The 18069-nt window shown below is 42.6% G+C and overlaps 3 pseudogenes, besides 1 other annotated feature; all 3 read right to left on the bottom strand.

Moving 5' to 3' along the window:
• IGKV2OR22-4 (immunoglobulin kappa variable 2/OR22-4 (pseudogene)) lies at window positions 931-2044 on the bottom strand (annotated as a pseudogene).
• Window positions 4525-4574: a silencer, noted in NCBI's record as "silent region_13426". NCBI's record gives its function as "represses an Ori minimal core promoter by ATAC-STARR-seq in GM12878 lymphoblastoid cells {active_cell/tissue: GM12878}" and the evidence as "EXISTENCE:reporter gene assay evidence [ECO:0000049][PMID:35858748]".
• Window positions 8191-8804, bottom strand: IGKV2OR22-3 (immunoglobulin kappa variable 2/OR22-3 (pseudogene); annotated as a pseudogene).
• IGKV3OR22-2 (immunoglobulin kappa variable 3/OR22-2 (pseudogene)) lies at window positions 12917-13311 on the bottom strand (annotated as a pseudogene).

The following is an 18069-nucleotide window of genomic DNA, read 5'->3' on the forward strand; positions in this document are numbered from 1 at the left end:
CAGTGTAATTATATGTACCTCATGTGACTCATTATTGGGTTCAATATCATTTAGAACACTATATTTAATAAAATCTATGAAAAGCATAGATGCTCCAGGCATTTACAACTAAAACATTGAATTCAGATTCATTTTCAGGTAATGATATAATCATGTGAAAAGAATGCATTTCTGTATTTTTTGAAACCTTTTCTTTTGAAAACATAGTAATACATTTCTACTCTAAAATAGAACTTAGCCTAAATACTTTCAAAACCTTTAGAATTTGGAAAAGAAATAAAAATCTCACATAATTCTGAATGTTCCCTTTTTTACTTGAAATAAACTTTATATTTTCCATCTTTGAGTTCCTGCAGTTTATTTTCAAAGGCCACTTTTGGAATTGTGAAAACTCTGCTTTCACTTGGCAAATAATAATTAAGAGTAATCAATCTTTTAACATTAAGATCTCATACCTGCCATGAGTTTACAAAGTCTATTTGAATAATCCAACATCAAACATTTTTTCTAAGTGTTAGCTGTACTCCCCTGCACACAGCTTGTGTAGAATGCTTCTACCTGTAAGACACTGGAGAGACGGTTTGGTGGGAGTCAGAGAGCAGAATTAGGAAGATGGGAGAGTATGAATTTCCCAATATGACTAAGTGTCATCGCGTGTGAAATAAACCCCAAGATGGTCATTTCCCATATGTGTTCTACTTGTGTTGTCACTAAACTGCATCCATGGTCTGGTTATTCTGACAGTTACATGAACTTGACAAATGTGGGCAAGACAGGGAGGGTGAGGATGTGAGCTTTCATTCACTCTCCCTTCATCATAGCTGGTTGCTCCCAGGGCACGTAGCCCCCATGAATTCTCCTCCTCCTGATGCCTTCCCCAGGCTGTGACTGCTGGTGGGGCCTTAACATATGAAATCTGAGGTGCTACTGAGGCTGTCATGGACCAGCGTCCTCAGCAGCAAACCTTGCCCTGACATCCCCAACAGCCTTCTCCTCTGCAGACTCAAAGACTCTGCTCAGCTGTTCCCTCAGACAAGCAGCCCATGCGGGCAGCTGGGTCAACCCAGCAGGGAGGTTTCTGTTCGAGGATGTAGCACTGTGGGCGGAGTTTGTAGAGCTTGCATGCAGTAATAAACCCCAACATCCTAAGCCTCCACCCTACTGATTTTCAGAGTGAAATCAGTGCCTGACCCACTGCCACTGAACCTGTCTGGAACTCCAGAGGCCCGGTTGGAAACCTCATAGATCAGGAGCTGTGGAGACTGGCCTGGCTTCTGCAGGTACCAATTCAAATAGGTGTATTCATCATCAGTATCCAAGAGGCTCTCACTAGATCTGCAGGAGATGGAGGCTGGCTCTCCAGGAGTGACAGGCAGGGAGAGTGGAGTCTGGGTCATCACAATGTCCCCACTGGATCCTGAAATAATAACAGAGAAGTGCAAGGTTATATAAACACATTTTGAGCAACTTTCATGATTTTCCTTAAGATTTTGATTTAGAGTTACATATTTTTTCAAGTTTTGATTTTTATCATGAAAAGTAGACTTTCTAAAATGAACCAATTTGTTACTAGCCAGCAGGGAGCAGTTTATTTTCAAGAGCTTAATCAGAGCACTGGTCATTTTTCCTGGGAGATGATTCCTGACTATTCCTGAGACAAAAAATACGAGTAATCTTTCCCGGAGCACAGACCATGTGCCCGTAACACATGGTTGAAATAAAAATAGGAAGCTGTGGAGACCCCAGATCTCACCCTCCCACCCCATTTTCTCACCTCACTTTTGATCCTATCCTTACCAGAGACCCAGAGCATTAGCAGCCCCAGGAGCTGAGCAGGGAGCCTCATTGTGAGAAGGTGAACTGAGGAGTCCTGATCAGTCAAGGCAAGGTTAGAGCTGAGCTTTTATCTCAGACTCACAAGGGAAGGTCCTCCCTAAGGGACAACATGCAAATCACCTGGTGGGTGCAGTGGTGTGGAAAAGGTTGATGGGGCAGGGGGAATGTCTCTTCTGTGAACAATGTGACATAAAATGTTTGCTGGAGCCAAACAAATGTAGTTCAAGTCAAGTTTGCCTGTGGTCAAGGGAAGAAGGCTCTGACTGTGGAAGTTGGGACCTTGGGCAGGGACACATTGTGCAGTGCATGCCACACTGAGAACGCACAAGGACCCTGACAACGTGGAAATGTGTTTCTAGGATGCATCTTTGGGAGGTGAATGCCATCCTGCAGGCCTCCCTCCCAATCAATCTAGAGAAAGAAAACAGCCCCATTCCCACAAGCACAGACGGGCAGAGGGCCTGCAAATGAAAAGTGCTCCTGAGCCAGTTCAAGTGTTGCCTCGTATGTGCTGTTTCCAGGATAACTGTTCAATATTATTCAGTGCAAGTGTTAGAATCTCCCCGTCCCTGGCACCTGATGAGTGAGCCCCAAAAAAGCGCTCCGTCCAAGGGCCTCACAGGGAGAATGATGTGGGTCTCTACATTTAGAGCCAAGAGCCCAGCATAAGTAAGAGGCAATGGGGCAAGAATGTTACACCTCAGGCAGTGAATACAAAATTCCTGGTGACCAACTGTTCAATCTGGGATAATCGCATCATAATCATCTCACATATACAAGATTAACCAGCAGGATCTCATAGGGAAGAATTTCCTTGGTTAATGATACAAAGCAAATAAGAAATAACATTGCATGATGTTTTTCTGAGTGGTGCTTACGAAAACTCTTCTCACACAGCCTCCCTGGTCATGTGGCATCAGGTCCTGTGAGGGCTTCCAGGTTATGGCCAACCCTGAGTGAGACCTGAGTCACCCCCAGCCTGGATGTGGTGCAGCCACAGCCATGAGTCTGCAGTTGAAAAGGAAATTGTCTATGTGAGAAGAGCAAGGACTGCATCTACAGTTTTATGTCTCAGGGTAACCTGGACCTGTAACTGACATTTTCATGGTTTCATGTAAAGATGCACATGGTTCAGGGGTGTGAGTCTTTCACACAGCTGATCATTACAAAGGGAAACAATCTCATGTTTCTTGATTTGTTCGTGGTGTGCTTAGTATTTAATTGAACAGCTCCTGAATAATTCTGCCAACACCAAACACTATCACAAAGACAGTCACATTTCTGGGAAAAAAAAATTCAGCTACAACTGAAAGACTAGCTTGTAGTGCTATGTAATCTTGGGTAATTTAACAAAAATTTATATTTAATTGCCCAAGAACACAAATACATGAAATTCTAGGTAAGATTCCAGAAGAAAGCTTGGTTTCAATATCTTCTGAGAAATCTACCAAAATAACCTTTTTTCCAAGATTGGAAAAGATAATTGAATAAAAATAATATTATAGACCTTTCAATGTTTAACACCATTGCAATAATGGGGGTTAAGGAGATCAAATTGTGCTTAAGAAATTTGATTAAAGGCTCACAGTAAACTGTAGAAAACTATGTCAATTTTATTTACTCTTTTCTCATTAAATTTCGTAACTTTTGTGCACTTGACTTTTTCTTATGTTATTAACCAATTCAAACCTGCTTCTTATTCTTCAAAAAGTGAGACTCCTAAATAATCATACTAGTGAACAATAGAAACATCAGAGGCTGAAGGAAAAGAAAAAGAAAACACAATCAGCCTAACTAAAGTAGAACGAGATGGTGCATCATATTGTAAGTTTTAAATAATTATTCTGAAAGGGTATTAAATGAGGAATCAGTTCTATCTATAATTAAAAACAAACTTGAATTGCAGGGAAGTGACTAACAATAAAAAAATTTGTCAGGTTTTCTTTTACTAAAGGTCAATTCTTGAAAATGTTGTTTTTGCAAAGTATTCCTTAAGAAGCTTGAATTTAAGATAGTCTTGCTATTTCCTATGAAACTTAGTAATACATCGTTAAGAAGGTTACCATTGTGATTTTTAAAAATCTCATGATCTGTTGCTGTACATAAATATAAATTGTGAAATTTTGTAGAAATCTTTTTTAGTCAGAAAAGAGCTTTGAAATTACTCTTTATTACCTATAGACTTAAAGGATAATATTACTAATTCTGATTAGAAACCTCCCTTTCTTATCTGTTGACACATTATGCCAAGGCTTTCACAACAGCAGACAAAGCTGGTCACTCCACAGTGGACACAGATCAGAAGGTGTCACAACCACCTCCATTCGGATCTAGGTGTGCGGCAGGCCTCTGCCTCTGAGTGTCTCTAACATGAACCATGGTCACCTGAATGAGGGAGGACTTATACAGGTGGGGTTTATTATGGCTGTGTCTCCTTTTCCTGATGCGGTTAGTTTGGGGTCCATAAAACTGGGAGCAACTGCATTATTCGTAAGACTTGGCAAGAGTCTTAGAAGTGGAACTGTTTGTGTTCATGACCCTGGAGTCAGTGTTTGGGGTGGACACTGTGATCCGATTTGTACGGGATTGGAATGACTTGCGGGCTCATCAAGGAAAAAGAGATGGCCACAGGGGGGCAGTCGCACACATGACTTTATTGGGTGACGTTTTGTCAGGTTTGCAGAGAGAAGCCCCTCCCAGCAGGAATCTGTGCAGAGAATAAGCTGCCAGGCTTGCTTCTCGAAACGATGGGACACTGGACAAGGGGCTGTGTGTCTAGGGGACGCCTCACAGCAGCACAGTGGGGAGTTTCTGGTTTAAGGTTTTCATAACTGGGGTTTATCTTACTGCGAGTAGATGTGGTTGAAATTTTCTGGACATGCAAAGTAAGTATTTTCTAAAAGGCTAAAAGTATTCTTCTTTGGGCTGTTGTTAAAATAATTGCATTGTAAAATTTGAGTTTGGAACAGGCCATTAGGAAGTAAACACAGTTTTGGCCGGGCCCGGTGGCTCACGCCTGTAATCCCAGCACTTTGGGAGGCCAAGGTGTGCGGATCACAAGGTCAGGAGTTGGAGACCAGCCTGACCAACATGGTGAAACCGCGTCTCTACTAAAAATACAAAAATTAGCTTGGCATGGTGGCACGTGCCTGTAGTCCCAGCTACTCGGGAGGCTGAGGCAGGAGAATTGCTTGAACCCGTGAGGCGGAGGTTGCATTGAGCCAAGATCACGCCATTGCACTCCAGCCTGGTTGACAGAGTGAGACTCCGTCTCAAAAAAAAAAGAAGTAAACACAGTTTTGAAATAAACAACATGGGGGCCAGGACCCACAGGCCATCTTTAGCTCATTTCTATGTCACTGTTTCTAATTCTGTAGACTTTGTTCTACAGACGGCATTAGTCCATATTTTCCAAACCAACACTACCATGGATGAGGTTGAGTAACACAGAGGCCTGTTCCCCACTTGGGGCACAATGAAGGTTCTTTTTGTTAAAGGGGAGAGTTTATCTTTGCATGCAAGCCACCCACTGAGCATCCCTTCGTGAAGCTGCAGGTCCTGTGACTGGATTCCTGGCTGCAAGGCACCGGGGGTTGAAGCTGTCTGCATTATCTCACTAACTGTAAATTGTCACTCACTGGAGAATATATTCACAGATAAATATTCTGGAACACAGACAGCTCAGGGAATGAAGGCTTCATGAATGTGTATCTTCTGCTTCTGAGAATTCATCTCTCCGGCACTGGAAGAAACAGGGTTGTTCATATGTTGTACCTTCAGACCGTGTTCTAGACCTGTCTAAGCTGACCCTGTTTCCAAATATTTGAGTTATTGTTCTTTACTTTTCCTTGGAAAAAATGTTTAGAAATCCTATAAAACTATATACACAGCTGTGGGAATAAGTGGTGAGTTTTTCCTCTGTGCTTGCTAATCTTTCTGCAGGGCCCACCTCACCTACCAACAAACTGCAGAAAGGGAAGCAATGATTCTCTTTCCTTCCTGAGCATTCTGTGTCCACGTCACTTCAATCTCTGTCTCTGTCTTCAAATCACCTTCTCTTCTGCAGTCTTTGTTAAATGTCTGCCTATCTATCTTATAAGGACAATCGTGATGTCCTTATAAGATAGAGATAGGCAGACATTTTAACAAAGCCTTTTTATTGACCCACCTGGACCAGGGCCCATCTGGTCAATACAGGATGATCTGCCCATTTCATAATCCTTAACTTTCATGTCCGATTAAATTCTGATGAGAAAGCAAAATGGGCTAAAAACTTCATCCTGAAGGAAACATTCATGTTTAATGCACAGGAACTGCAGATGAAGCCTGAGTTCTCCCTCCTCACCAGAGAGTTGGAAAAGCAGGAGGAAGAGGAGCAAAGCTGGGTCCCCGCCTCCATGAGGGCCTCCTAAGGCTGCTCCTGCTCACAGAGGGTGGGGAAGGTGGATAGTCAGCTTGCGCTGCCACACCAAAAACACTGATCTGGATGACATAAACCACAGAATTTAATTTTCATGTTTCACATTTTTGGTGCCCAGATCAATGTCCAGCAGGGTTCGCTTTCTGGTAAAGACCTTCTTCCGGGTTTGCAGATGCCACCTGGGCTATGACCTGATAAATATCTATATACATTTTGCCATGCAACTTTTAAACATAACAGAAATGACACATTGGAATTTTAATTGTACTTACTACGGAATCCATTATCTTTTTTTTTTTTTTTTTTTGAGACGGAGTCTCGCTCTGTCGCCCAGGCCGGACTGCGGACTGCAGTGGTGCAATCTCGGCTCACTGCAAGCTCCGCTTCCCGGGTTCACGCCATTCTCCTGCCTCAGCCTCCTGAGTAGCTGGGACTACAGGCGCCCGCCACTGCGCCCGGCTAATTTTTTGTATTTTTAGTAGGGACGGGGTTTCACCTTGTTAGCCAGGATGGTCTCGATCTCCTGACCTCATGATCCACCCGCCTCGGCCTCCCAAAGTGCTGGGATTACAGGCGTGAGCCACCGCGCCCGGCCGAATCCATTATCTTAAAATAAATCATCTCAAGTATAATTTAAGCCCTTAGCCTGCATCGGGATCTTGTTCTATTAATTCAATCAGTCTTATGTGTCTCTGCACCGTATTATCACAGGTAACAGACATCACTCATTACTCGGAGTCATACAAATGGATTTGGCAGAAAAATCGGATCATGGATGCAGACTAGTGGCAACACAAGTGAAATACATGTTAGAAATGACTCGTTTGGAAATAGTTTTCTACATGTTAGCACTTGGTCATATTGGGAAATTGCCATCTTCCTAGTTTGGAAACTTTCTCTCTCATTTACCACTCACATGAAACTGCCCGCTCTAGCATTATGGTGGAGAAAGCACTATTGCTTTTGTAACAGAAAGCATTTCTGTTAGGTTTTAAAGTTGCATGGCAAAATGTATATAGATATTTATCACACTGCAGCCCTCAAATTAAAAAAGCAGATAAATTTAGTGCACTATTGTCAATGAAATCTATTAAAAGAGACGATTCAAATACATTTTCAGGAAAAAATAGTGTCATGTAAAAATAATGCATTTTTTCATTTTTTAAATCATTTTCTTATGACAGCATAGAACTAAATATTTCTTCTCTAAAATACTATGTCTGTAAAATAATTTTAAAATTCTAAGAATTTGAGAAGGAAATAAAAATCGCATGTAATTCTACATTTTTCCTGTGGTACATCACATAAACTTTATGTTTTACATCTGAATTGTGTTGTTTATTTTCAAAGTCCACTTTTGGAATTGCAAGACCTCCATTTTTCTGTCAGCAAAAGGTAACTGAGGCATGTCAAACTATTTTGGTATTATTATCTTACATTTGACATGGATTTTAAAAATCCGTAAGTGGAAAAAAAATCAAATAGGTTATCTATTTATTCTGAGCCATACTTCCCTGACAGCTGGTGTACAATGCTTTCTCCATCATAATACTAGGGAGGGCAGGTTCATGTGAGTGGTGAAGGAGACAGAAAGTTTGGAAAGTGGGAAGATAGCAATTTCCCAGCATGACCAAATGTTATCATGTGTAAAACTATTCCCAAACCAGTCGTTTCTAACATGTATTTCACTTGAGTTACCACTAACCTGCTTCCATGATCTGATTGTTCTGCCAAATAAATGGACTCGAAAAATGTGGGCAAGAGAGGGAGGATGAGGATGAGTTTTCATTCGCTCTCCCTTCATTAGAGCTGGTTGTTCCCAGAGCACGTGGCCACATGTGACAACTGATGGAGCCTTAACATGTGGGACTGAGGTGCAACTGAGTCTCTCATGGGCCATAGTCCTCAGCAGCAAACTCTGCCCTGAATTCTCCAAGAACCTCCTGTTCTGCAGACCCAGAGACCCTGCTGAGCTGCTCCCCAGACAAGCAGTGCATGTGAGCAGCTGGGATGCCACAGGAGGGAGGTTTCTTTTGGGGGCTGTACCACTGTGGGAGGAGTTTGTAGAGCTTGCATGCAGTGATAAACCCCAACATCTTCAGCCTCCACCCGGCTGATTTTCAGTGTGAAATCAGTGCCTGACCCACTGCCACTGAGCCTGTCTGGGACTGCAGAGGCCCGGTTCAAAACCAAATAGATCAGGAGCTGTAGAGACTGGCCTGGCTTCTGCAGGTACCAAATAGGTTTATTCCCCCCTGTATACAAGGCTGTGACTAGACCTGCAGAAGGAGATGGAGGCCAGCTATCCAGGGGTGACGAGCAGGGAGAGTGGAGTTTGGGTCATCATAATATCCCCACTGGACCCTGAAATAACATGAAAGAAGTGTAAGGTTATATAGACACACTATGAGCAACTTTCATGATTTCCCTTATGATATTCATTTACAGTTACGTATTTTTTCAAGTTTAGATTTATATCATCAAAAGTAGACTTTCTAAAATGAATGCACAATTTACTAGCCAGTACGAAACTCTATTTTCAAGATCTTAACCAGAGCACTGGTCATAGTTCCTTGGAGAATCCTGGTTATTCATAAGGCAAGAATATGAATTCTCTTTCCTGGAGCATAGACCATGTGCCTCTAACACGTTTGAAATAAATATAGGAAGCTGTGGAGCCCCCAGATCTCACCCTCCCACCCCATTTTCCCACCTCATCTTATTTCTATCCTTACCAGGGACCCATAGCATTAGCAGCCCCAGGAGCTGAGCAGGGAGCCTCATTGTGAGAAGGTGAACTGAGGAGTCCCGATCAGTCAAGGCAAGGTTAGAGCTAAGCTTTTATCTCAGACTCACAAGGGAAGGTCCTCCCTAAGGGACAACATGTAAATCACCTGGTGGGTGCAGTGGAGTGGAAAGAGTCAAGGGAAGGGTGAAGGGGCCTCTCTTGTGAGAAAAGTTCCTTAAATGTCTTCTCTGTTTGGAGGGAAACCAACAGAGATAAAATCTATGCTGCATGAGTAGGATAAATTCCCTGACCCTTTCGTCTCCTCTCTTAGATTTCCTGTTTCTTAGCACTTCCCAGGGGCACTTTTCACTTCTCCTTACTAAGGTTGAGATTCCATAAGTAACTGATAATTCTTCTTTCTTTTTTTGTATTTGTTTGAGTCCAGAATTGGCTTTTTCAGTTTTTTATCTTGAGGTAATACACACGCCCAGTAAACAACTGAAATGTTAAATATGCAACTAAGTTTTCTGTATGTTCTCCATCCCAATGAATCTCTAGAATATTTCAAATTCTCCAGATTCATCCCTCATGCACCTTCCCAGGCAACAGCTGCTCCCCAATTTCAGTCAAGGTAACTGGAATTCAGATACTCATCACAATAGCTTGGTTTCCCCTGGCCTAGAATTTCATATAAATTGAAGGAAACACTTTTTTGTTTTTTCCTTGCTTCTTCCTCTTTTCTTTACTGTTTCTGAAATCTTCATTTATTTCTGTGCATTCAGATTACCATCTGCTGTCATTTCCTGTGATTCTGAAAAGTTTCCTCTTGAATATCTTATAGAATATATCTGCAAGTAATCATTTCTCTTCATTTTGTTCATAAAGAAGTGTTTTTACTTTACCTTTATTTTTGAAGCATATCTTCACTCGATATTGAATCCTTGGGTGAGTCCCTTCCACCCAGTATGTAAATATGTAATCTCACTGTCTTCTGCCTCTATTGGTCCCATGAACAGTTCACCAAGTGTTTTATTACTGTTTCTCTGGTATAAGAAACCAGTATTTTCTTGATACATTTGAGATTTTCACTTTGTATGTGATTCTGCATTTTAACTACAATCTGTATAATGATGCATGTCTTGATGTTTATCCTGGATAAGTTTCCATTTTTTTGATCTCATAGACTAATGTGTTTCATTACCCTTGACACATTTCGCAGAATTTCTCAGGTCTCTCAGGTGTGCCACCTCCCAGAGATGCTCTCTGTGTGGTTATTCTCTGCAATTCACTCTACTGTGTTGCTGTACATTCTCTTTTTATGTTATGTCCTAGGTAATTTCCGGAGCAGCCTCAGGCCAGTCTCTGGAGTGTGGGTGCACTTGTAGTGACAGCAGCTCTGGGCTTGGGCCTGGGCTGGTCCACATGGAAGTGGCTCAGGGTCTGAGTTGCCAACACAGGATGAGGTCCCGGAGCCTGGGTTGGGATGATGCAGAGTTGGGGCTGGGAGGCAGCCCCATCCCAGGCCGCACAACAGTGGCTGCTTCTTGGGAGGATGTGGAGGGAAGGTCGCAGAATCTTCCTCTCTGCGGTGATGTACATGCCCATGGCTGCAGATTTTTTTAGTGCCAAAATCACCAGTGTCCTCTTTGGAGCAGGCTGTTGTGATCCTTATTAATGAACACTAAGGGGCCTTCATTAGGAAAGCTGTAGAGTGGAGCTGCCTTGGGGGATACTGAGGTCCTCAGCTGCCAAGGCTGCAGGGTCCTCCACAGAGCAGGCCATGGGGACTGCAGTGGCCCTGCCTCCTAGCTGGTAACACTTGCCTCCTGCTTCTTTGCCCCTGGCTGTCTCAAAACTCTCAGATGTGCCATCTCCCAGCCATCCTTCCTGCATGGTTACTCTGCGCTTTTCTCCCGTTGTGTTCCTGCACTTCTTTAATTGGATTCTGGAGCACTCCAAGGGCTGTTTTCTTTCTTGGATAGCTGTCTAATTGTTGGTTTTGCTATTTTGTGTGTGTTTATGTGTTTTTTTGGGGGGGAGTCCAGATGAAGGCTGGAATCAATGTGAAGCCACTTTTCTTAGGCATTATTAATCTTATTAATCTTATCATGAGTGCAGAGCCCTCATGAGCTAATCACCAAAGAATCCAATGTCTAATACTGTTGTCTTGAAAATTCAGTTTCAACAGGAACTTTGGAGGGGACACAATCAGACCATAGCAGTGATTTAGTAGAAAAAAATATGATAACTGAATTATATTGGATCAATTGGATATCCATATGATGTCAAAATGAATCTTATCCTGCACATTTTACCTCTATATTGATACGCACATTAATTGTAAATCATAACCTGAAATGTAAAGTCAAAAGTATAAAGCTTTTAAACAATACCATAAAAAGATATTTCATGACTATACATGTGAAAAAAGATTTTGTATAGAAGATACACAAAGCACTAAGCACAAAAAAATTAATCAATTAGTTCTCCACTGAAAACTCAAAAAGCCAGAATGGTTTCTTTCTGCCAAATGACTACATCACCTCTCCATCAAGGGTTCACATCCAGGCTGAACCTGAGATGGCTGAAATGACAGAAGTAGAATTTATAATAGGAATAGGAATAAAATTCATTGAGTTGCAGGAGTATGTTGTAACCCAATTCAAGAAAGCTAAAAATAATGAAAAAAATTTTCAGCAGATGACAGACAAAATAGCCAGTACAGAGAAGCACATAACCAGCATGTTAGATCTGAAAAACACACTACAGGAATTTCATAGTGCAATCACAAGTATTAATAGCACAACATACCATGTGGGGAAAAGAATCTCAGAGCTTGAACACTGACTAAGATAAGGTGGGCAGGCAGGAATATAGAAAAAATAATGAAAAGGAATAAACAAAACCTCCAAGAGATATTGGATTATGTAAAGAGACCCATTCTACAGCTGATTGGTATACCTGAAAGGGATGGGGCAAATGAAACAAACCTGGAGAATATATTTCAGGATATCATCTATGAAAAATTCCCCCACCTATCTAAAGAGGCCAACATTCAAATTCAGGAAATTTGGAGAACACAAAAGTAAGATAATCTACAAGAAGATCATTTCCAAGACACATAATTGTCAGATTCTCCAAGGTGAGAAGGAAAGCAAAAATTTTAAAGGCAGCTGGAGAGAAAGGCCAGCTCACCTACAAACAAAAGCCCATCAGACTAACGTGGATCTCTAAGCAGAAATCCTACAAACTGGAAGAAATTGTGGGTCAATATTCAACATCCTAAAGGAAAAGAAACTCCAACCCAGGATGTTATGTCCAGCCAAACTAAGCTTCATAAGTGAAGAGAAATAAGATCCTTTTAAGACAAGCAAATGCTGAGGGAATACGTCACCACCAAACCTGCCTTACAAGAGCTCCTGAAGGAAGCACTAAGTATGGAAAGGAAAGACCATTACCAGCCACTACAAAAACACACTGAAGTACTCAAACAAGTGATGCAATAAAGCAATCACATAAACAAGTCTGTGAAATAACCAGCTGACATCATGATGACACGATCAAACCCACACATATTCATGCTCACCTTAGAAGTAAATGGGCTAAGTGCTTCAATTAAAAGACACGGAATGGAAAGTTGGAAAAAGAACTAAGACTCATTGGTATGCTGTTTTCAAGAGCCCCATCTCACATGCAATGATACACATATGCTCAAAATAAAGGGATGGAGAAAAACCTACCAAGGAAATGGAAAACAGAAAAAAGAAGGGGTTACCGTTTCTGACAAAACAGACTTTAAACAAACAAAGATTAAAAAAAAAGACAAAGAAGTGAAAAATCTTAGGCTTCAGGCAGCTGATGGTGATAGTAAAGTCTGTCTCCAATCCATGACCACTAAACCCCAGGATGCTAGTGGCCCTGTTGGATGTGCCTTAGATGAGGAACCAGGGAGCTTTTCCAGGTTTCTGCTGATACCAGGCTAAGGAGCTGCCAATGCTCTGACTGCACACACAGATGAGAGAGTCTCTTTTCCCTGAAGACAAAGACAAGGAGTCAAGAGACTGCATCAACATAACTTCTCTGGAGGGACATGAGATTAGAATAAAACAGGAAAATCACTCATATAAACTGCATCAAGCCCACAATCTTCATAGTATAACCACAGTCACTAATCTACACTGAATTATAATTACTGTTCTTGCTCAGCAGGGATGCCAGGTCAGAGGAACCAACAAGGTTGAGAGAGTTTCAGTGTAGAGCCATCTCCTCTTCCCCTCACCTGGGAGCTAGAGTACAGGAGGCAGAGAAGCTGAGATGGGGCTTCCATGAGTCTCTCTTGTCCTAACTGAGCAGTGCTTGCCCTGAGTTCTGACCCAGGTATTGATATGGGCTCTGAACAGCAGCATGGCTGGGAGGAACATGCAAAGAAGCATTGGACTTGCTGTGCTTCTAGCTGCAGAGACCACCTGCCTCCTCTTTTTTTCATTGAGAAGCCCCTGCCCAAGTGGTCAGGTCAGAAAGGCTATTGGCTCAGCATGAGGGTAGACCTTCTCCCTTCCGGACTCCCAATTTAATCCCCGTCCTACCTCACCAGTTACCTAGGCTCAGACAGATGGTGTTTAGTACAAACCTCTTGAAAGAAAAAATAAAAATCTATGGTTTCTTTTTCTCTTTCTTCCCCTAACATGCCCAGTCATCTTCCTGGCTGCATGATTGTACCTGGCTGAAGTCATTGATCAGAAATTCATCTTCTATACACACTTTTCCTTTGCAGCTTAGACATCATTTCTATGAGCCCTGAACATTTTCCATTATTTGGAAGAACCAGTAAAGGACATCACTTTGTTAGGCCAAGCACTGTGGGTGCATGAGTGACCACAGCTACAAAGATAAGCAGACTCCAGGCTCAGACTCATCATTGTGTGATTCCACTCTCTGCAGACAGACGATGGTGCTGTCCAGCTGGCCAGGAAAAATTGGGGGTGGTATCTTCTCTTCTCTAAAGCACTCCATTCTGCACAACACAACCATTCACCCACGCTCAGACTCTTTTCCCTTTAACAGTTTTGAAAACCTCTGTTCACACCACTGATGGAAACAAGAATCTTGTCTGGGGTTTTCTTGTGTTCCTCAGAATTGTGAACATGTAGTGGTGAGCGAGGTTCCCCTGAACAGGCTGAGAAGCTCTTTAAATTACATTCCATTTAAAATTATTAATCACAATTGTGGAAATTTGTTTTCTTTCTTATCTAAACATCTAAGTAATGTACTCAGTTTTCTTTCTTAGCTAACAAAACTGAAGTATCAATTATTTTACTCCTGATATAATCTGATATGTTTTGTCTTTTAAATGGAAAGTCAATTTTACTGTAGTTATGACTTGTGTAGTACATAGATCATTATATATGTAATATAATCAATTGAGTACAATAATGTTATATTGCTATTATATGTTTTCAGGAAATAGAACCTAAAATATCACTTGAGAAAAGGATATAAGTTCTGAGAATTATAATTTTCCTTATTTCCTAAAGACTGAGTACGAAAAAGGAATAAAAAAAGGAAAAGGAAACATTTCCATATAACAAGCAGTTTAATCCACTCTTTACAATCTTCCCAGAATTCTAGACATACAGACTGCTGGGAAGAGTGCCCCCCACTGAGCACCTACTGTTTGCCAGGTACTCCCAATACACTGGGATACAGCAATGCAAATAATAGACAATGGCCCCGATCCCATGAAGCTTAAATTCATCTAAAGGGAGTCAGCATATAAAGTGTAAAATCATAAAGAAATAAATTATATATATATATAAGGTAGAATGTGAAAAACGCCTCCAGCAAAAGCATGGAGTAGGGTGTCCTATGAACACATTCAGAGAGATCATTAAGATGGGAAGTTCTAGGTTGTCTTTGGGAGTCAGGGAGGGAGCCCAAGAGGGGTCTGGAGAAAAGCATCACTGCTGAGGGACCAGTGAGTAGAGCTCCAAGCGTGGGACTGTGTGAGCCTTGTTTAGGGCAGAACCAGGAAACCAGAGAGTCAAGTCTGGAGTCCAGTGAGTCAGAGGACAGAACCATGAAAGCGGTTGCATAAGTAACAGGGAGGGTTCAAGGAAGATGGGGCCAGGTAGGAATTGGCCTTTTACTCTGTGTGATGTGGAAACTTTTGTGAGATTTTGACCCTGGAGGAGCACTATTCATCTATTTAAAAGATCACCCTGGCTACTGAATTGGGAGTAGACTGCTGGTGGGTGAGGGGAGAAGCTGGGTGATCTGAGGAGAGCCTGGCCATGGTCTAAGATGAAGATGATGTTGGTTTCACTAGTGTGGAGCAGTGGGGGTGAAGGTGGGGAAATGGTGAGATTTGGGAAACATTTGAGTTCTGAGATTATTGGCTCCCCCTCTGCTGGTTGCAAGGTGTTTTGTGGGATGTGTTGAGCATGCAATTCCTCTAACTTCTCTTGTTTGTTTTTTTTCATGGAGAATTTTTTCTCTGCCTTCTGGTGCTCAGGAAGAAGACTTCTCATTTCCTCTTAGGCTTCTTGTGAGTAACCAAGATTTTGTTCTAGCTCACATTTCCTTTCCCTGCTTGTTCACATCTCCTGAAAGAAGATACCCACGTGCTCTCCACTACGAGGAGTCTCAACCTGCTATCCAAAGGCCTCAGTCTAATGTTTTCTTTTTTGCCTTCATATTATTTTCTTGTTTCCTTGTCATTATCTTAGGAGTCACATAAAGTAACATTTTTCTGTGATTCTTAGCTATTGAAAATGCCATTTTAATCACACTACTTCCCTCCCTTAATGTCTATTAATGAACTTCTCGAAGGTGTTAAGAGACAAAACCATGTGCTCAAATTGTTGCACAGGGACCACTCCACTCTCTAGCAGCACTTCTGGGGCCTCTCACAGAGTGTCCCATCCAGGTAGCCCTGCAGAATCCCCGTCTTGTCACACTCCTCACTGACTTCTGTGAGTCAGATTTTCTGAGTAGAATCCTGGCTTACAATTTGGATGTAATGCGCCCCTTGGAGGCATTTCATGACCTCTCCCTGCCTCAGTATTGTCAGCTGAAGATGAGAATAAAACATACTTGTCATAAAAAGAGTTAGTTCAGTTCACGACACATAAAAACCATTCAGCTGACGGCAGCTGCATGAGAAAGCCCAGGCCAGGCAGCAGAAAAACCTCCCAACCAACCCATAGAATCACAACAAATAATAAATTGTTGTTTCACTCCTTTAAGTTTTGGAGTGCTCTTATATGCTGCAAGAAAATGGAAAAATTAATATATCAATCCAGGTAAAGCACCTGTCTAGGAAACACCTTAGCTTCACAACCCTTTGCCTCTCCCTCTTTGTAGATCAGGTGTAAACTTGAAGTAATAACTCTTCAATCTTCCCCTGTATCAACAGGCCAGAAATCACAGACTCTGAGAACAAAGACAACTATAATATGAACGCTTCACACTCTCAGATTATGGCTTCTGCAGGAAGCAAGTGTCTTTGCATCAGGGCAGAATCTTCCATCCAGAAAGGGTATTTTTGGTTGGGGACTTTTCACTGTAAGAAGCCAACTGAAGGGCTGCTGGCAGGAAAACACTCCAGCATCTTCAGCTTTCACTCCATGGATGGAGAGGGAGAAGCAAAAACCAGAAACTTCCCTGGAAACTGGAAGCGGTTCCAGCAGCCTGGGAAGAAGCCCCAAAGAGCAGCAGACTGGAAGCCTCCTGGGATCTCTGCTTGTCCTAGGTGATGGAGGTGCCTACATCTGTGCTGTTTCTGCAGGTGATAGAGACAAAGTCACCTCCAGATGCTGCTAAGGTCTCCGGAGATGGAGTTGAGATAGTCTGTCCCCTGCATCCTGCAAGGACACCCTATTCAGGAGCACAATGCATTACTTCTCTCAAAGGATTTCTAGAAACCTGTCCTGTTCCTTAGAAGACCCTGTCATGCTTAAACATGACAGAAATTAGTACTCCTGGGCCCTCACATCTTTGCATTTGATCAGAATCAAGATAGAATTGGCTGGGGAGGGGTTCTCAGGACAAGGGCACCTATGAAAGGGGATACAAGCATGGTAGAGCCCACCCTGAGGGGCTAATGGTCAGGTCCATTCTTCACAGCCTGACCAGAACCACAGTGAGCTCTGAAGAGAGGTGGACATGGGGTGTGAGCAGGGACAGAGGATCCATGGTCCTCAGGGAGGCTGGGAACAGGTTCAGGGCTGTATGCACCTCTGCCTCCTGGTTAGCCCTGGACTCTGTGCCTCAGTTTCCTAATGAGAGTTAAGGCAAATCACTTCTATATGTTACACTATAATTTCCAAAGCACATTTGAGCTCATTATCCCCATGTCAAGGGCTAAAGCCCCTGCATGGTCTGCAGTGGGAAATGCACTCACCCTGAAAGCCCATCACCAAGAGGCAGAGGAGCAGGGCCAGGAAGAGCATCTTGGAGTGTCCAGGGAACCTGCTGCTTCTAGACCTAAGGGCAAGGGGAGTGTGGATGGGCAGGTCATTCCTGTCATGGCTCTGTATAAACAGGTTGCACATCCCAAGATTTAAATAAGCACAGATTTCCTTGGAGTCAAGGCCTGATGACCTTAAGCAGAGCCCCTCTCCAGGAGTCTCCCAGGGCAGGCAGGCTCACTCCACCTGTGGCTGCCAGGAAGTGGTGGGGGTGACGTAGATGCCTCGGGTCCCATGGTGGCTGAGGCTGGACTGAGCAGGGCCAGTGATGCTGCCCCATTCCCAGGGTTCCACTCCAGAGGCTGGGACAGGGGTCACCCCAGAGCCAGCCAGATGTCTGCAGAGAGGCCTCTGGATGTTCTATTTTTATGCCACTAAATGTTTGGCAATTTGTTACAGCAGCCCTAGAAAAATAACACAAAAAGTGCTCAGGGAAAATCCAGACTAAAGATGCAATGGCCATTTCCGATCTTCTTGTTTAACTATCAACTCTATACATAAATGGATTGGTGGGGAATTTTATGGTAGAAAAACTTGGCAAATGTGATGAAGGATCTTGAGAACTGAATACTATCTTGGAGTATTTTTGGACCCCATGTAATCATAATTGTCTGCAT

The sequence above is a fragment of the Homo sapiens genome, chromosome 22, assembly GCF_000001405.40.
Source record: "Homo sapiens chromosome 22, GRCh38.p14 Primary Assembly".
Lineage (NCBI taxonomy): Eukaryota > Metazoa > Chordata > Mammalia > Primates > Hominidae > Homo > Homo sapiens.